This window comes from Homo sapiens, chromosome 13 (genome assembly GCF_000001405.40).
Source record: "Homo sapiens chromosome 13, GRCh38.p14 Primary Assembly".
NCBI classification, from domain to species: Eukaryota; Metazoa; Chordata; class Mammalia; order Primates; family Hominidae; genus Homo; species Homo sapiens.
The window spans coordinates 45,027,441-45,048,023 of record NC_000013.11 but is presented as its reverse complement, the minus strand read 5'-3'; the positions used below and the strand labels follow the sequence as shown (position 1 = coordinate 45,048,023).

The 20,583-nt window shown below is 41.4% G+C and overlaps 1 protein-coding gene and 1 long non-coding RNA gene across 8 annotated transcripts in view; one reads left to right on the top strand and one right to left on the bottom strand.

The window, feature by feature from the left end:
• Positions 1-9: 9 nt before the first annotated feature.
• LOC105370188 (uncharacterized) lies at positions 10-1,858 on the top strand. Its single transcript, XR_941935.2, has 3 exons — positions 10-81; positions 1,283-1,431; positions 1,559-1,858. It is a non-coding gene; the product is annotated as an uncharacterized LOC105370188 (long non-coding RNA).
• Positions 1,859-10,354: 8,496 nt separating this feature from the next.
• Positions 10,355-20,583, bottom strand: part of GPALPP1 (GPALPP motifs containing 1) — a 48,132-nt gene continuing 37,903 nt past the window's right edge. For 3 of the 7 annotated variants that reach the window (NM_001316951.2, XM_011535144.3, XM_047430437.1), the window contains 2 exons: positions 20,021-20,239; positions 17,719-18,785 (listed from right to left, as the gene is read on the bottom strand). In NM_001316951.2, the coding sequence (NP_001303880.1) occupies positions 20,021-20,239 (219 nt within the window). In that variant the 3' untranslated portion in view covers positions 17,719-18,785. Of the gene's footprint in view, positions 14,789-15,916; positions 20,240-20,583 lie in introns of those variants that run through there. The other 4 variants (NM_001316952.2, XM_005266444.4, XM_047430436.1 and 1 more) reach the window with 3 other exon arrangements.

Below are 20,583 nucleotides of genomic sequence, written 5' to 3'. Positions count from 1 at the left end.
CAGCCTACACAGAAATCTAGGGTTCAGAGGTCCAGGATGAAAGTTTCAGTGACCTCTTGGGAGGTTACCAAGGAGGAAATGGTAATATTTGTGACAGCTGTGATCTATCATGGAATAAGGAAGAGAGCACTCAATTGGGAAATACTGTGGAGCTAGAATGATAACCCAATATTTTATGAGCCTTAGTGTTTTGCTTAATTAGAGGAGGCGGAAAAACTGGACTGAGAAAAGAATACCCTATTGTTTGGATACATGGCTCCCAGCGCTAGGAGTAGGATGTTGTCCAGAGATGGGGGTGGGGGGCTTTCTATTGAAGTCCCTTTAAAATGATCATTTCTTTACCATAACAGTGTTGTGGCCTCCCTGCACTCATTCCTCCCTCAGTCCTCATTCAAATCATTTTTCTTGGCTTACTCGGCTAAAGCAGGCATCTGCTACAAGGTACCAGCCGGGGCAAGACTTAGTTGGCTCCGGCTTTTCTCGGCGGAGGGAGACAGGTGGAACTCTAGTGCCGCCTTGTGGAATCGCTAACATTTCCAGGTCTACCTCACCTAGAAAAGAACTCAAGTTTGTACTGTTAGGATTTAAGAAGACTTTCTCCATTTCTTTTAATGTATCCATCCCTCCCTCCCTCCTACAAAGTTCACTGAGTATCTATTATATTTCAGCTAGGCCCTAGAAATAATACTAATACAAAAGATAGGATATTGCCTTCACGCAGTTCATAATCCGTTGCAAAACAAGTAAACAGCGCATAACAGTCCCAAGAGCTAATGGAAGAATGACAGTGGGGTGACCTACTGGCTGGGAAAGCTGTGTAAGCTATCGAGCTAGGGGCCTTTTTTTTTTTTTTTTGAGGGAGTCTCGCTCTGTCGCCCAGGCTGGAGTGCAGTCGCACGATCTCGGTTCACTGCAAGCTCCGCCTCCCGGGTTCACGCCATTCTCCTGCCTCAGCCTTCCTAATAGCTGGGACTACAGGCGCGCGCCCGCCACCACGCCTGGCTATTTTTTTGTATTTTTAGTAGAGTCGGGGTTTCACCGTGTTAGCCAGGATGGTCTCGATCTCCTAACCTCGTGATCTGCCGGCCTCGGCCTCCCAAAGTGCTAGGATTACAGGCATGAGCCACCGCGCCCGGCGCTAGAGAACATTTTTGAGCTGGGTCTTCAAGGATTCTGTCCCTCAAGGTTGAAAGATGAAATAATGCAATGTTTTATCAGTAGGGGGACTTTGTCATCAAAATAAACCAGAGAATAACATGTAGTAATTCCTGTCTTCATTTAGGTTCATATGCTTGCTACCTTCCAAACAGCTCTTCAGGCAGAAGCAGGTACACAGACAGTGCTGGCGGAAAAACCTGAGAAGCAGCTATCAGTATTAGACCACATACGAAAGCCTCTTCGGGACATTTGCAAGCATCCAGAGCAGAGATGGTAGGCACCTCCTTGCAGGAACAGGCTCTTCACTGGGCAGGGGGAGGGAGGGAAGGGGTGTGAGGAGGGTGGCAGAAATGAATGACTTTAAGTAGGTGAGTAATGTCATCAAATTTGAATTTTACAGATTTGTTTCTATGGCATTACGTTCTTAACCAAGTTCCAGAATGACTCTCCGGCCCTGGATTGGGCGACTTTGTTGTCTGTGCTTCTGATTCATAGAAAGAGGGAATATTAGGGGAAGAGGTTGGAATATGACAGCTATACTTACTGGTTTCTTGTGCCTTCTCCCAGAGATATTCTTTGCTTCTATAGGCAGATTTTGATTTAAAGCAAATATTGAATTATCCTTTGGTCCTGCTGTGTGTGTTTGAAGTGCTCGCGGATCATCCAAGTGGAGAGAGCACCGAGTAGGCCCTCCTTACTTTTTTTTTTGGTAACACATGATTCTACACTTCAGTATTCTTATTATATCTTGGAGATGGATATATAGAACTGACTCATTCTTTTAAATAGCAGTGTAGAATAGAGGTAGAATGGAGGTAACAATGTATTTAACCAGGCCTCTTTTAATGGGCTTTAAAAGGCCACACCACCGGGTGTGGTGGCTCACGCCTGTAATCCTAGCACTTTGGGAGGCCAAGATGGGCAGATCACGAGGTCAGGAGTTCAAGACCAGCCTGGCCAATGTGGTAAAACCCCGCCTCTACTAAAAATACAAAAATTAGCTGGGCGCAGTGGTGCGTGCCTGTAGTCCCAGCTACTCAGGAGGCTGAGACAGGAGAATTGCTTGAACCTGGGAGGCAGAGGTTGTGGTGAGCCCAGATCGCGCCACTGTAGGGAGACAGAGCGAGACTCCATCTAAAAAAGAAAAAAAACAAAAAAGCCACACTAATTTATATTTGACTGTCAATGCATGAGAGAGCCAATTTCCCACTACCTGCTTTTGTGAATCGTGTTCAGATTCTTTGCCCATTTATCTATTAGCTTGCTGGTTCTTTTTTATTTTCTTATTTTTATCAGCTGTTTAAATGCTAAGAACTTAGGCTTTTGTCTGTGATGTGAGTTGCAAATATTCATGTCTTTTGATTATGCTTTCTATGCAGAATTTTTCTTTAATATATACCAATTTATCAATGTTTTATTTTTAAATTTATTTTTATTTTTATTTTTTGAGACGGAGTTTTGCTCTTGTTGCCCAGGCTGGAATGCAATAGTGTGATCTTGGCTCACTGCAACCTCTGCCTCCTGGGTTCAAGCGATTCTCCTGCCTCAGCCTCCTGAGTAGCTGGGATTACAGGCATGCGCCACCATGCCCTGCTAGTTTTGTATTTTTAGTAAAGACGGGGTTTCTCCATGTTGGTCAGGCTGGTCTCGAACTCCTGACCTCAGGTTATCCACCTACCTGGGTCTCCCAAAGTGCTGGGATTACAGGCACGAGCCACCCTGCCTCGCGAGCCACCCTGCCCGGCCTATCAATGTTTTATTTTAGGGCTTCTGGATGTTATGTTATTCTTAGAAAGTTCTTGCCAATTTCAACATTACCGAAAAGACTTTTATTTTGTATCATATATATGTGATACAGTTGCAGTGGCTCCGCCTGTAAACCCAGCAGTTTGGGAGGCCAATGCAGGTGGATCACTTGAGGTCAGGAGTTCAAGACCAGCCTGGGCAACATGGTGAAACTCTGTCTCTACTAAAAATACAAACATTAGCCAGGTGTGGTGGCGTGCGCCTGTAATTCCAACTACTGGGGAGGCGGAAGCAGGAGAATTGCTTAAACCTGGGAGGCGGAGGTTGCAGTGAGTTGATGTGGCGCCACTGCACTCCAGCCTGGGAAACAGAGCGAGACTCTGCCCCAGGGGAAAGAAAGGTTTAATCTATCTGGAGTTTATTTTGATTTACAGAGATCTAATGTATTTTTTTCCCCCACATGTCTACCCAGTAGTCTCAACACCATTTATTGAGTAATCTATTTTTTTCCCACTGATTTGAAATGCTATCTTTATATATATGTCTGTTTCAGAATTTTCTATGGCAGATGAGTTTTTTGTTTGTTTGTTTGTTTGTTTTTGGGTGGAGTTTCGCTCTTTTTGCCCACACTAGAGTGCAATGGCGTGATCTTGGCTCACTGCAACCTCCACCTCCTGGATTCAAGTGATTCTCGTGCCTCAGCCTCCTGAATAGCTGCGATACAGGCGCCCACCACCACACCTGGCTAATTTTGTATTTTTAGTAGAGATGGTGTTTCACCATGTTGGTCAGGCTGGTGTTGAACTCCTGACCTTAGGTGATCCGCTCGCCTCTGCCTCCCAAAGTACCGGGATTACAGGCATGAGCCACTGTGCCTGGCCAGCAGATGAGCTTTAAGTCCATCTAACCTTGTCTTTGAAGGAAGGTTCAATGTTCCTGTTCTTTTGTTTTTGAATGTGGGAAAGCCTTGAGCATGTTTGTATGTGGAGGGAGAAAAGCAAGTGGTCAGGGAGAGGTGCAGAGGAGACCCAGATGGGACCGTGAAGGGAAGATGGGTTATGACAATTAGTGAGAGATCCAAAGAGCTGACAGCTGTGCCTACCTCAGCAAGGGAGGAGGTAGGAGCTCTGCATTTTTCCAGGAGTTTTTGGTATAATGTGAGGTAGCATCCCTTCCAGCTCACAAAGCCCTCTCTCCCAGTTTGTCAGTCCCCTCCTGGGCTGTCTTCTTCACTACCTGCTCTGGAATTTGTGTTAATCACTTCAGTGTTCCTAATGGGCATTCTACTCTCTTAAGTTCCCAGCCTGGATCAATGCTGCAATTCACCTTGGCACAGTTGTGCTGACAGACATGTCACACTACGGTTTCTAACCCAGGCCAGGAACTTTAGCTCTGTCATCTGCTTGTCTTTGTTTTGGTCCCTCTCACTTGGGCTGCAGTGTTTATTCCAAATCTTTAAGCACCCCGTGTCCCCCCAATTCCTTACTGTCAGCAAATGACCTGTCTTACCTGGGTAGAATGCAGGCTCTCCGCCTGGTGTCTGTGGTTGGGATTCAGCAGGTTGAGAAACTGAAATTATATGTTAAAATTTGGGTAATGTTCTTTTTTTTTGAGACAGGATCTTGCTCTGTTGTCCAGGCTGGAGTGCAGTAGCGTGATCTTGGCTCACTGCAGCCTCTGCTTCTGGGTCTCAAGTGATCCTTTCACCTCAGCTTCCCAAGTACCTGGGACCACAGGCATGCGCCACCACCCTCAGGCAGTTTTATTTTATTTTATTTTTTTGTACAGATGAGGTCTCACTATATTGCCCAGGCTGGTCTCGAACTCCCAGGCTCAAGTGATCCTCCTGTCTTGGCCTCCCAAAGTGCTGGGATTATAGGCGTGAGCCATGGCTCCCGGCCTAATGTGCCTTTTTGAGAGAAAAACATTGGTAGTTTTCATCAGATTGTCAACATCCTGAAAGGTTAAAAACCTCTACTCCAACAAATTGAATATGCCAGGTCTGATCTCCCTTAACTTTCTGGCCCTCTACTTCCAAGCTTATCACTGCCCATAACCATCTTTATCTGCTCTTCTCTGGGTTTGGAGGAGGTTGGGCCCCTCTCCCTGTTTATTCTGGGCCAACCCACTATACATCATCCTGTAACTCTAGCCTTCCCGTTGGATCTGTTTTCTCTCTTAGTTACTCCAGCTCTCCCCTTCCATTGCTTCTTCTTTTCAAACTGGCTTCTCTCACTCCTGAATGTACACATAACAACAGCAGCAACAACACCCACAGGCCACTTTGTATTCCTCTCTCGTTCTGTCTGTTTTCAGCTCATCTCTAGCCATTCCTAGTGCCTCTCCTCTGTGACCTCAATCAGTGTCCTGCGCATATCTCTGTTCTCTGCTCACCACATTGCATAATTAGAGCTATTTCTGTGTCTCTGTCTCTCCCATTGGACTGTGAAGCTGAGGACCATGTCTTTTATATTTATCTCCAGACCAGTCTCACACATTGTGGAAGCTCGATAAATATTTGTAGACAAGAACTACTCATCAATTCAGTTGTTCTCTAGAACTTCTTTTCTTACCATGTTTTTTCTTGAGGTATCAAAACTAGAATAAGAAACAGGTTTTTGTTTTTGTTTTTTGAGACAGAGTCCTGTTCTGTCGCCCAGGCTGGAATGCAATGACACGATCTCAGCTCACTGCAACCTCTGCCTCCTGGGTTCAAGTGATTCTCATGCCTCAGCCTCCTAAGTAGCTGGGATTACAGGCGTGAGCCACCATGCCCAGCTAATTTTGTGTTTTAGTAGAGATGAGGGTTTCACCATGTTGGCTACACTGGTCTCAAACTCCTGACCTCAGGCGATCCACCAGCCTTGGCCTCCCAAGGTGCTGGGATTACAGGTGTGAGCCACTGCATCCAGCCAAGAAACAGTTTTCTAGATAGATCCACCATAGGTTTGTCCAAGTGTAGCACTTTTTTTTTTCTTTTGTATTTCTTTTCTCTCTTCTATTATCCAATATTCTACTAGCTTTTTTTTTGGCTATAGCTACACCCCCCCCGCTTTTTTTTGCATTATTACTGAGAACTCAAAACTCACACTCTAATAGGTATAATTTGTATTATTAAATGCCTAAATTAATGTCATTATTGCTCACACTGAAGTTCAACTGCTTACTAGGCAGTATAAACAAAGCTCATTTAGGGATATTTACCTATGTAAGAAAAAAAATACCTTCCCTTTTTTTTTTTTGAGACAGAGTCTTGCTCTGTCACCCAGGCTGGAGTGCAGTGGCATGATCTTGGCTCACTGCAACCTCCGCCTCCTGGGTTCAAGTGATCCTCCTGCCTCATCTGCCCAAGTAGCTGGGACTACAGGGATGTGTCACCATGTTTGGCTAATTTTTGTATTTTTGGTAGAGATGGGGTTTTGCCATCTTGGCCAGGCTGGTCTTGGACTCCTGACCTCAAGTGATCCCCCTGCCTCTGTCTCCCAAAGTGCTGGGATTACAGGTGGGAGCCACCACGCCTGCCCTTCTATTCTCTTTAGAATAATACATTTACAAGTTATCTAATGGCCATGTATGGGAGGCCAGCAGGATTATAGCATCACATTTGATTGCTAATTATAAACAACCATTTATTAAATACCTACCTCTCTACAATGCTTTAACAATTCCTTTTCGAACTACTCTATGTCAGGCTTTTTACTGATTGTAGTTTCTTTCTTCCTCTTTATGTTTTTACCTACCCAGAATACATTATCTTCTTTTGGTAACAATACCTCCAGTTTCCTTTAGGGAAACATTGTGGTACACAGAGGCTAGAGAACTGCAGAACAAGCTGAGGAATCCAGTGGCCTACCAGTGCCCTCAACCAATGATAATGGTTAGCTGGGAGCAGCTAACTCTAGACCCCTTGAGCTTGAAGTGACGGTGAATCTGGTTTTGACTTTGGCTAACCTCTCTCCAAGCCTCCTGTCATTGGACATCTCATATCCAAGAGACACGATTAATTGGCAGAGTTAAGCAGGCTTCCTTGCTATTGATTGGGTTGGAGCTGGTAATCCTTCATATTTTTTTCATTTCCCTTTCTTTTTTTTTTTAGATGGAAAGGCTAAATAAATCATTTTGAATTGTACTGTGATTTATAAATTGCAGCAGAATGTGGTGAATAAACTGTGACAGCTCATTTCTCATCTACCTTGTTTGTGCTAAATGTACTTCTTGATGTCAGAGGATGTGATGGAAGCAAATCAGGAGGGAGGAGCAGGCATTTTAGAAACAACGCCATCTTACTGGGTGGCACCCACCCTGGCTGAGTCATCTCTGAAGCATGTCGATGTGTGCATGTGCCCCATCCCCTCTGCACATGAAAATTCATAACCATGAGACAGGACTAGCAGATATCTAATGAAAAGGGGGTTCACAATGGCCAGATGCTAACATTGGTAAACCTGAGATGAATGGACAGGTTAGGTGGGTGAGACCGCAGTTTGGTAAACACAATGTTGGTATTCTCATTAGAAAACTGGTGGGAATCAAAGGTGAGACGGAGCCATAGCATCAGATGTTTTTGCCTTTATAGTATGTGTAATCTTTGTTTCCAATGATAACATTTCCACTTTCTTTTAGGGAACTACCCTGCCAAGTTTTTGTTCTAGGTGGTTTAGATAGAGTTTAACCCACCCTTTGGCTCCATGGGTAGAGACAGGAACTAGCCTGGGCTATTGGGTGTTTTATCTCCTGTCCATGTGATTGATTTAGGGTGAACAAGTGACCAAAGATGAGCCAATCAGCATCAGTTCTTGGACTTTGGCAGGAAAGAGCAGCTTTCTTTTCACTGGTTGGTTAAACTGGCAGAACGTCACTTTAGACATGCTGCTATCAAGCTTGTCACTGTCTAGGAAGCCCACCTGAGGATGAAATTCACACAAAGGAAGGCAGGCTGAGGAAGAGAGACAGAATCCTGTGACACATTTTGGGCACCCAGATCCAGTTGTGCCTAAAGCCAGGGCTACAGTCTGGACTTTTCATTACATGAGTGAATAAATCTTTATCTTCTTTTTTCTTTTTTTTTGCTTCCTTTTTTTCCTTTTAACTTGTTTTTGTTTTTTATTATTTTTATTTAAAAAAAAATCTTTTATTTTTAATTAGTTTCTTGAGAAGGGGTCTCACTCTTGTCGCCCAGGCTGGAGTCCAGTAGCGTCAACATGGCTCACTGCAGCCTCAACTTCCCGTCTCAGTCTCCCAAGTAGCTGAGATTACAGGCTCACACCACCATGTCCAGCTAATTTTTGTTTGTTTTTGTTTTTTTTTTTTTTGAGATGGAGTCTCACTCAGTTGCCCAGGCTGGAGTGCAGTGGCCCAATCTTGGCTCACTGCAACCTCCGCCTCCCCGGTTCAAGTGATTCTCCTGCTCAGCCTCCCAAGTAGCTGGGACTACAGGCACCTGCTACCACGCCCGGCTAATTTTTTGTATTTTTAGTGGAGACAGGGTTTGACCGTGTTAGCCAGGATGGTCTCAATCTCCTGACCTCGTGATCTGCCCACCTCGGCCTCCCAAAGTGTTGGGATTACAGGCGTGAGCCACCGCACCCGGTCCCTAGCTAATTTTTAAAAATTTTTTGTACAGACGTGGTCTCCTATGTTGCTAAGGCTGGTCTTGAACTTCTGGCCTCAAGCAGTCCTCCTGCCTTGGCCTCCCAAAGTGCCGGAATTACAGGTGTGAGCCACTGTGCCTGGCCACATGAGTGAATAAACTATCTTTTTTTGATTAAGCCAATTTGAGTTGAGTTGCTATCACTTACTGCAAAGAGTCCCAATACAGGAATCTTCTGAGGTTGTAAGAAATAAGTGAGCCTGTTTACCAGAGTTGTCTGAGTGCATCTAATAGCCAGGGGGCTACAATAACGACACCATCATTTATTGCTGGATTTTGTGCTAATTATTTAAATATGTCATCTCATGTAATCCTGGTAACATCTTGTGAGTTATTATTGCCCATTTAAGAGACAAATAAATTACAGCTGAAATAGGTTAAGAACCTTTCTCAGGTTTACAAAGCTAGTGTTTACATAGGAATTGACTGCAGGCTGCTGTCTCCAAAGTTTATACCATGGTTAACTGGCATGGTATAACTTCCGTATGTTAGTCAGGGCTTAGTTGCAAACAAAGTAGTATACTCTGATTAGTTTAAGCTGACCAGAAGTTATATAAGCAGGAATATATCCACCCACACTGCAATGCTCCTCTAGAGAAACCCCAGTCTCACAGCCACAGCAGTTGACACCACTGATGCTTGGGACTGGGTGCCAGACATGCCGCCTCTGCTGCTGTTGAAGATCAGTCCGTGTCCACTAATATGCCCATCAGAAGACGATTCTGGGAATGCCAACTTCTTCCCTTATCTCTTGGAATACCAACTGCACGTGGGTGCATCTGATTGGCAGAGGCCAGGCCACATACTTGTGCTCTAGCAGCAAGGGAGCCTAGGAAAATGAGTTTTGCCTTCTATCTTTTGAATCAAGAGGCTCAGTGGCCACAATCTGACAACCATCCAACATCTTTGATTCTAGAAATCTTAATCTTGATTCTATTAATGTTAGACTCTAAACTGTGGTTTGACTGCAAACATTTTAAGCTTTAAGAACCTCTAGAAATGTCATGTTCAGACCAAACCAAGTTGGATTCTCATACTTCAGGGTACACAGAATCACCTGGGCAGCTTGCCCAAAATAGACGGCCCAACCATCTATTGGGCCCAACCCCAAACCTATAGATGGAATCAAAACTTCTGATTGGCTGGGCATGGTGGCTCACACCTGTAATTCCAGCACTTTGGGAGGCTGAGGTGGGCAGATCACTTAAGACCAGGAGTTTGAGACTAGCCTGGCAAACATGGTGAAAACCCCGTCTTTACTCACAGACAATAGCCTGGTGTGGTGGTGCATGCCTGTAGTCCCAGCTACTCAGGAGGCTGAGGCAGGAGAATCGCTTGAGCCTGGGAGGCAGAAGTTGCAGTGAGCCAAGATGTGTACCACTGCACTCCAGTCTGGGCAACAGAATGAGACTCTGTCTCCAAAAAAACAAAACAAAACAAAATCCTCTGGAAGGTTAGGGCATCTATGTTTGTAATAAGCTCCCAGGGGATTCTGATTCACATCAAAGTTGGAAAGACATCGATTTTGCTGACTAAATTGGTCATCATTTTTGTTCAACTATCACCTTCCATTCACCTAAGCCTAGATATTACTCAGTTCTGGTAAATACTCAATAAAGATGCAGCCCCACTGTGTGTTCACATAAGCTCACTGGAAAGACTATAAATGTGATTTTAAAAAGCTCTTTATGATTTGCTGGTAGAAAGAAATATTCTGAAACCATCTTTTCATGTCATTTTCTTAGAGGCAACACAGTATAATGGATTGATTAGCATCTTACAAACTGACAGGTTAAAAGATAGTTTTAAATCTTTATTGATAAACTGTCATTTGACTGCAAGCATTTTAAACTTTAAGAATCTCTGTTTTCAAATATGACAATTTTATTAAGCAATATACAAGGCTGTTAGGGAAAAACACTAATTTAAATTCAGTTAAAATGAATACTAAAGAATAAGCACAATTTCTAGATTTATTTGCTGGTCAATATTAAGTTAATTATGTCTGTACCTGTTATAAAAATTAGCAATCTTAGGCTGATGATAAATTGCTTTTGTTAAGTGTGTAGTGTGAATTAGGTATTATAGTATTATTTATCCTTAGGTTAGCAAAATGTGTTGCTTTCAGCCATTACCTAAAAAGACAAAAATCATCATATTATATACATAAGCAACTTCATTTGTTGTTTTGTACCTAGTGATAAAAAAGGAACAAGTTTATTTTCATCTCAGAGCTCTGATTGTATGAAGATAAAACTAGGACTAAATACTTTATCATATAGCCTGTTTGGCCAACATTACCCCATCATAAAGAAAACAAATGGAAGTGCTTTAAAGGGCAGGACAGCGGTAAGTAATCAGAGATATGAAAATGAACTTTGAAATACTTTTCAATATTCTTGAATAGGTTCTCGAAATTTGTCTAGATCTCAAAACAATGATGCACCCTTGTAGCTTTTATTGTCTTTCCTACCTAGTTCTGCAGAATTTTATTGCTTTCTTTTTTTCTCTTTTAGAGATGGGGTCTCTCTGTCTCCCTGGCTGGAGTGCAGTGGCATGTTCATAGCTCACTGCAGCCTTGAACTCTTGGGCTCAAGTGATCCTCCTGCCTTAGCTTCCTGAGTAGCTGGGACTACAGATGCATGCCATGCCACCATGCCCAGATAATTTTTAATTTTTATTTTTTTGTAGAGACAGGGTCATGCCACGTTGCCCAGGTTGGTCTTGAACTCCTGGCCCTCAAGTGATCCTCCTGTCTTGGCCTCTTGAAGTGCTGGGATTACAGATGTGAGGCATTGTGCCTGGCCTTTTGTTTCTTTTTAACATTCTTTTACCTACTGTTATCTTTTCTTTGTCAGCAAATACAGAAACTGGTATCTAAAAGTAAACTCAGTTGCTTCTGAAGTTAATACCTTAGCTGCCAAAGCACAGTTATCTAAGACCTCAAAGTAACATTAACTGGTTAATTCCCCCAAGGAAAATAGTCATAAGGTAGAGACCATCCTTTGCAGATCATCTATAGCCCACCAGTGCTCCCTTTTTGTGCTCCCTGCCTTTTCAATGTTCTGCATTCCTGAGGCATTCAGTCTTAAATGGCCCCAAGTCAGCCAGGGACAAGGAACTACAATCTGACTATTCCTCTTAGGGACTTATCTATTTTAAAAGGTGCTGAAGAGAGGGCAAAGTGCAATGAAACTGAATTATCAATGGCAGTAGAATCTTGATCACTGTAGCAACTGGCTGGTAGATGTTTGAAGGGTGAATGCTTTTAGGCATTCACTCAAGAGAAGTGACAATCCATTCTTCAAGAGGCAAGTATTGCTGGTGCTGGTGTTTGTTGCTATGCAAAGTAAAGTGATTATGTATTTAGGAATATATAATAGGAAAACAGAACATATAACAAAGGAGAGGGGATTGTTTATAGGAACACATGTAAGTGCGGTGGTTATTATTTTTTTAAATTTCTTTTTAGAGTCAGGGTTTCACCATGTTGGCCAGGGTAGCCTTGAACTCCTGGCCTCAAGCAATCCTCCCACCTTGGCCCTCCAAAGTGCTGAGATTACAGGTGTGAGCTACCTTGTCTGCCCATAAATGCAGTGGTTCTTAAACTTGAATTTACAAAGAATGGCCTGGGATAATTGTTAAAAGTGAAGATGCTCTGATTCTAACCCCAAAGATTCCTATTCAATAGGTTTGGGCCTGGAGATCTGCATTTAAATGAACTCCTAGGTGATTCTGATAGAAATAGTTTAAGGATTACAAATTAAGAGACAGACTGATCTACTGTATTTTTCAGTCCCTAAGTAAAAACATTCTGCTATGTCCAGAATTCTAGAGACTTGACTAATAATTGTTGAATTCATCTGGTGCTATTCAGTTCTTAAAAAGAATGTAAATAACCCTCAATAATTAGGCCCAGGAGGAAACAAGTAATTTACAACAACTTCTTAAAAAAACAGCTATTCTTAAATATTTATGGTTTTGATGATAAAGTATAGGCTCAATGTTCAGATCAATGTATTAATGTTCTGATAACTAATGACAGTTATTAGTGGAGTTACATACAGGGTGTTTGCAGAGCAAGGGCCTAAGAGTGAATTCAGACACATTTGGGCAATTCTGGAAGGCCAGCAGAGTAGACCTTTGGTGTAAGAACCATCTGGCCAACTCCAATGTCATGTTTATAACTTGGTTAAGAAGTATTCTCCATTGGAGGCCGGGGGCGGTGGCTCACGCCTGTAATCCCAGCACTTTGGGAGGCCAAGGCGGATGGATCAACAGGTCAGGAGATCGAGACCATCCTGGCTAACACGGTGAAACCCCGTCTCTACTAATAATACAAAAAATTAGCCGGGCGTGGTGGTGGGCGCCTGTAGTCCCAGCTACTGGGGAGGCTGAGGCAGGAGAATGGCGTGAACCCGAGAGGCGGAGCTTGCAGTGAGCCGAGATGGCGCCACTGCACTCCAGCCTGAGAGACAGAGCCAGACTCCGTCTCAAAAAAAAAAAAAAAAAAAAAGACCAGCCTGGCCAACATGGCGAAACCCTGTCTCTACTAAAAATACAGAAATCAGCCGGGTGTGGTGGCGGGTGCCTGTAATCCCAGCTATCAGGAGGCTGAGGCAGGAGAATCACTTGAACCTGGAAGGCGGAGGGTGCAGTGAGCCGAGATTGCGCCATTACACTCCAGTCTGGGCGACAGAGGGAGACTCTGTCTCAAAAAAAAAAAATAAAAAAAAAAAAAAAGAAATAAAAATAAAAAAGTATTCTCCATTAGGAAGCTTCCTTTCACCTCCCAGGACTGGGTTAGATGTTCCTATATAGGCTTCATAGTATCAGTAGACACTATGAAGACCCAACCCTGAACCATCATATTTCTCACAATATACCCGCCATACTGGAGCAGTTCCTCAAACACCAAAGAACTAAAGCTTCAGGGCATTTGCATATGTGATCAGTCACTTTTCACACTGCTAGCTTTTCATTTTTTTAGGTTTCAGCTTAAATGACACATCTTCAGAGACTTCTTATCACTCTAACTAGATAGAATTCCCATCCTCAACTACTTGTTCTAGTCTTTCACTACCGTGTTTTCTTTCTAACACCTATCAACAATGTGCAATTACTTGATCTTTTTTACTCAGATCTTTTTCTGCTCTCCCACTAGAATATAAAATCACAAATCAAGGAATCTGCTTTACTTATCTGTGAATACCCTATAAGGGACCAGCACAGAATCTTCTCCCAGGGAGGAAGACTATGCCTGCCTGGTTCACCATTGTGTTCTTAGCACCTAGCATACACTGAGGCATTTAATAAATGTTTATTGAATAAATGAACAAACATATAAGTTCCTCCAGAAATACTTATTATAGGGAAATGATCTGAGAAAGCAAAGGCTCTCTTTTTGACCCTACATGTTCAGATTCCTATCATTCAATGCTTAGCTTTGATGTTGCAAAGCATCTCTTTTGGTCACTTTCAATTTGGGAGTTAGAGAGACCAAACCAAACCAAACCAAAGAAACTCATACTCAAACAATCCAGAAAAAACCTACCCACTGTTACAGGTCCTGTGATATGAAGAACAATGGAATCTTGGTTATAACCCAGTGTCACAGTGCTCTCAAGAACATTTCCAGTTTGTCTGTCTTGTGTTTCTAAATAAACAGATAATATCTGTATAGTTATATTAGATAATGAAAACCTGGCAAGCGAGTTGGAGTTAAAGTTGTTGTTGTTTTTTACAATAGCCTACAATGATCTGGTTGGCCGGAATAAACCTTTACAGAATATTCTCTTTACCAATACTGCCTGCTTCAGAAAAGCTAATAATGTTAAAACAAAAATAAATACTACAACTTCTCAGATATAGATAAAACTTTATTTATACATAAAAAATTACACTTTAGGAATTCTGTTCCTAAAAGCATTCTCTTAGTAAAGCTCAAAATGAAAAGGTTGAAAGGGGCAGTGAACAGCTTTTTAACTGTGTACATACTGCAGTCACAAGCAATTTTTTAAGCTGCAAAAATCATCTAAGTAGCATGAGCTTTTGAAACTGCAGACTTAAATCTCATGATGGCATCAAAAGCCAAAGCGAAATAAATCAATATTCTGAAATAGAAGACTTGGCTGTCGATGTTAATTGGGTGCTATCTCCAACCACTTTCCATCATGTTACTTCTTCCTCTTAGGTGTAACTCAAGAAATAACTTTTTTCTAATAATACCTATCACTGCATGGAAAAAATGAAAAGAGAAGTGATAAGGGCCTCCTATTAGTAGTTTAATATTAACATTATCTACCCTCAATAAGAAACAAAAAATGTCATAATGTTTTAGGATAAAATTACTTATACAATAACCATTGATCTATTCTGAAGCATGTAAGCCTTGGTACCATGCAAATCTCAACCTCACTTTTTTTTTTTTTTGGAGATGGAGTCTCGCTCTGTCGCCCAGGCTGGAGTGCAGTGGCGCGATCTTGGCTCACTGCAACCTCCGCCTCCTGGGTTCAAGCAATTCTTCTGCCTCAGCCTCCCGAGTAGCTGGGACTACAGGCGCACACCGCCATGCCCAGCTAATTTTTTGTATTTTAGTAGAGACAGGGTTTCACCATGTTGCCCAGGCTGGGTCTCAAACTCCTGAGCTCAGGCAATCCGCCTGCCTTGGCCTCCCAAAGTGCTAGAATTACAGGCGTGAGCCACCGCACCTGGCCAATCTCAACCTCACTTCTAAATAAATCGTTAATACAAAGAATCATTCAGGCCAGGCGCGGTGGCTCACGCCTGTAATCCCAGCACTTTGGGAGGCTGAGGTGGGCGGATCACCTGAGGTCAGGAGTTCGAGACCAGCCTGACTAACATGGTGAAACCCCGTCTCTACTAAAAATACAAAAATTAGCTGGGCACGGTGGTGGGCGCCTGTAGTCCCAGCTACTTGGGAGGCTGAGGCAGAAGAATCGCTTGAACTCGGGAGGTGGAGGTTGCAGTGAGCCGAGATCACGCCACTGCACTCCAGCCTGGGCAGCAAGAGTGAGACTCCATCTCAATAACAAAAAACAAAACAAAGAATCATTCAAGGTTAAGATGATAAATTAAATGTCAAGTGGTTGCTACATCTAAACAAGATCTACATCTAAACAAGGTTGCTAGCATCTAAAAACTCTTAGATCAGGGCTTTTCTCTTTTTTCTTTTTCTTTTTTTTTAGAGCAAGACTTAATTTACCATGTTGTGCCTAATACAAAAAGGATTTCATTTATCTGGTAAGGCAGTCTTAGTAGGGGTGTAGCCACCATCTCTCGTGTTTTGTTCACCCCTTACTTCCCCACTTGCTAAACCCAATAACCCCACCGTTTACTTACCAGTAATGTGGTTACTATTTGAAGCATCTAAATCTATTGGAGATGACAATTTAGAGAGCTGGACAAAAATCATATAATTTCAAGTATAACAAACTTAAATGGCATATTCAATGGTAAGAACATTAAAAGTATCTGCTCCATTATATTAACTTAGTGTTGCTCTTTTTTTCTTCTTCATTTTTAAATTTCAAAAGAGGCCACATTCCTATGACACTTGGCCAAGAAATGTAGGAAATTAAAAAGTCCTTATTAAAATGTCTCCTGCCAGATGGAAAGGAGACTTGATTCAATTAGGCCTTTTGCATCTTTGGAAGTGGGGAGGGGATGAAATAAAGACACCTTTCCGTCCTGTGCAATAACTACTTTGTCCTTTTGTTGTCAATATTCTTGTATTGGGATTAGTCTCTCTGTGGGGCAAAACAACCTCTGAAACTGGCCTTACATTTTGTTAAAATTATCCTCAGGTTGGCACAAAAGAGCATTATCTCCAAGGCCAGTAAGGTAGTAACTCCTGGAAGCAATAGGCGGAAAGCAGAGGTTTCTCTCCTTCATGCCAAGGTCATGGTCACTCCAAAGGTGAGGGATGAAACAGTAAATATATAATACAGAAATATCCCTATTCTCTTTAAATGAGGAAAACAAAGAAAAGTAAGTATCCAAAGATAACAATTTTACTTTAAAAAATGCAAATTTCTCAAAAATATATGTTAAGAATTTACATAAGGAAGAGGAGCTACAAAATACTTTTTTCCTTTCATTGGGAAAAAATTATAACAAAATTAAATTAATGCAATGGAGACACTCTTGTACAAAATTTTGTGTTCAGAAAATACTGCTCATTAAAAATGACATTTTTAGTCAAAAGGTAGCTCTGTTCAATTTTGAGTACACAAGAAGCTTTTTCAATTTGCTTAGGAGAAAAATTCATCTATTTATTTACTTATTTATTTAGAGATGGAGTTTCACTCTTGTTGCCCAGGCTGGAATGCAATGGTGTGATCTTGGCTCACTGCAACCTCCGCCTCCTAGGTTCAAGCAATTATCCTGCTTCAGCCTCCTGAGTAGCTGGGATTACAGGCACCCGCCACCAGGCCCGACTAATTTTTATATTTTTAATAGAGACAGGATTTCACCATGTTGGTCAGGCTGGTCTTGAACTCCTGACCTCAGGTGATCCACCCACCTCGGCCTCCCAAAGTGCTGGGATTATAGGTATGAGCCACTGCGCCCAGCTAATTCATCTTTTTAATAGCAATGCTCCTTTAGTTTGCTATGGTTTACACTGATGCTATGGAAAAAATATACTGTACTGCTATTATTAGAGGAAGAATAATTTGTACCATCATATAAACAATATACTCAATTTTCATAAAGCTTACATGAACTGGGAATCAGAATATTTTTCCATTAAAAATTTGTGTCTTGGCCAGGCATGGTGGCTGATGCCTGTAATCCCAGCATTTTGGGAGGCCGAGGCAGGTAGATCACCTGAGGTCTGGAGTTCGAGACCAGCCTGGAACAATATATAGTGAAACCCCATCTCTACTAAAAAATACAAAAATTAGCTGAGCATGGTGGTGCACGCCTGTAGTCCCAGCTACTTGGGACACTGAGGCAGGAGAATCGCTTGAACCCAGGAGGCGGAGGTTGCAGTAAGCTGAGATCACGCCACTCTACTCCAGCCTGGGTGACAGAGCAAGACTCCATCTCTCAAAAAAACAAAAATAAACAACAACAAAAATTTGTGTCTCATCAAAACTAGAATACTAGTGGAACAATTGGGATTAATCTGCAAGAAAATATAACTTATAGAATTGGCATTTATTTAACAATAGTTTAATAGTTTAAATAGAATTTCTCATCTTATAAATTTATCATCTTAAGAGGCAGTGCTTAAAGCATTACAAACTTATAATACTCCCAATTAGGGGGGTTATGATTATAAATTTTCCATTTCCATTTTTGTATTCAGGGATTATTAAATTTTTAAAAAAGGCTATTCATGACTGATATGACCCCCGTAAATTAGCTAAAAAAAAGATATGACCCCATAAATTAGCTACAAACTGTTAAGTACAGCATATAAATGGGTAAAGTAAAGTTGTCCCAAAGCAAAGTTCCAGGACTCAGAAAGCTTTGGTTGAGATCAGAGATTGAGTCTTACAGATTTCACAATGCTAACAGTTAATGGCATATCTTATCTTGATTGCCTCCCCTAGAAATACTAACTATTAAAGTTGGAAAAAGCAAAATAGTTTTTCCTTAGCACATGAGATAACCCAGAGATCTTTCTGACTTAAAAACAATTAAAAAATTAAATAACAAATAAAAAGCCCTGAGTGCTAAAACAAGCAAACTGATTACAAAACAGGCAAAACCCCATACCCTCTATTTTCAAGTAAATTTGTATTCACTGGCTGCAGTTTAAAGGGAAAAAACAACAAATTTCAAAGTCATGGATTTACAGTAAGGACTTGACACACTGACTCTAGGGCAGGTTAGGTATATTTCACAAGGAGGTCCAGGCTGTGGTAGAGATTTGGTGGTCAGTCCTGACCAGACCTTAGAGGGTACTTGTGAGACACCACAAAAATCAGGGGGAATGGAAGCCTCTTAAAATAATTATTTGAAGAAAAGCCCATAATTCCCCATACTTCCACAGAAGCTAAAGGCACATAGAATATTCTGTTCTACATAAAAAACATTCGTTTTATGTTTCCACATGACCTTAAAAGGACATACAGAACAAGGTAAATTTGTATGTTTTTTAAGATTAAAGTAATCTCTAATCTTAAGAAGCCAAAAACAAAGAAATAAAGATGGACAAAGAGTATTCTTCAACTTTTCTTCATTGCACAGGGAAATCCCCCTGAGGTAAGAATAAGAAAACTCAGTAAGTTGGAAAATATTTCTAAATTTAACATATTTTCCTCAAAAATCACATTTGAATATTGATATAGGTTTAATACAATTAAAAATCATAAAGATATTAAGAAGCAACCTCAGCTTTTATGTAATTTCTTTTCTTCTCTTTTTCTTTCTTTTTTGAGACAGAGTCTCTCGATCTTGTCACCTAGGCTAGAGTGCAGTGGCACGATCTCGGCTCACTGTAACCTCCACCTCCCGGGTTCAAGCAATTCTCCTGCCTCAGGCTCCCAAGTAGCTGAGATTACAGGCACGTGCCACCACACCTGGCTAATTTTTATATATATATATTTTTAATAGAGATGGGGTTTCACCATGTTGTTCAGGCTGGTCTCGAACTCCTGACCTCAGGTGATCCACCCGCCTCACCCTCCCAAAGTGCTGGGATTACAGGTGTGAGCCACTGGCCTCTTTTTTTTTTTCTAAAGAGACGAGGTCTCACTTTGTTGCCCAGACTGGAGTGCAATGGCACAATCACAGCTCACTGCTGCCTTGAATTCCTGGGCTCAAGGGATCCTCCCACCTCAGCCTGCTGAGTAGCTGGGACTATAGGTGTGCTCCACTGCACCTGGTTAGTTTTTTGTAGATACGGGGTCTCACCATCTTAAGCAGGCTGGTCTCAAACTACTGGGCTCAAGCGATCCTCTCACATTGGCCTCCCAAAGTGTTGGGATTACAGGCGTGAGCCACTGCACCCAGCTTTATGTAATTTCTTAATCACCATTCTGAACCCTTGTCAGATTGGGCTATGGATGAATATTGGAATAGTTTTGAACCTTAACTTATAGGGGACCTTTCTAAGCAACAAACATTTCCTAGTTGGGATTTTGTTTAACATACAAACAACCAGCAAGCCTTTCTTCATCTTTAATAAAGCATGCATATTTACTCAAGTATCAAACCACACCTTCCTTTGCCATTTCTCATAAGCTGAATTTTTATTTTAGCATTTTTAATAGCAATGCCCTATTAGGTTATTATGAGGGATTTTTCCAGTAAGACATATTTTTCATCCCACAAGGCTGACTTTTCAAAAATCACTGTTTACTTATAAAAATATAAAATTTTTAATCTATTATAAAAGGAAATAGATTTCAGCACAATTATTAAAGACAATAGAGTATTTAGAAAAGTTCACATTGATCAGTATTAAAATATACCTCACTGAAATATACTTACTTATAAAAACATATTGCCTTTGCCGTGTGAAAATCTGGTGTTTAGTTCTCTAGATTTTTTTATTAGGGCTTTTTTCTGAGCTTCATCAAACCGATTAACCTTGAGATCTTTATCACGGTCAAATGGTATTCTCTCTTGAGGCTTATTTTTGTCTTCAGCAGCCTTACTCTTTAACTTTTTATGATGTATGTCCATAAGAGATTCTGATCTTTTTGATTCCTGGAGAGAGCAGGAGAGCAGAAATAAAAACTATAGTTTGTATATAGATTATTGACAGAATATGACCATGAAACGGAATAGATAGTAATGGTGCACATTAAGGAGGGCTATTTACAAACCCCAGTAGTTTTTTTTTTTCCAAATCCAAGACAGCATTTATAAAGAAAATATGTAATGAAAAGCATTATGGTTATTTAAATACTAAACATCAGAGTACAAACCAAGAACGGGGTGTGAAAGAAAGAGCAATCATATTGTCACTTCATAGACGTGCTGGTCTTTGAAGGCTAAATGGACGGATAGGAAGGAAAGGCACTGTCAGGCTGAAGCAAAAACAAAGGTAA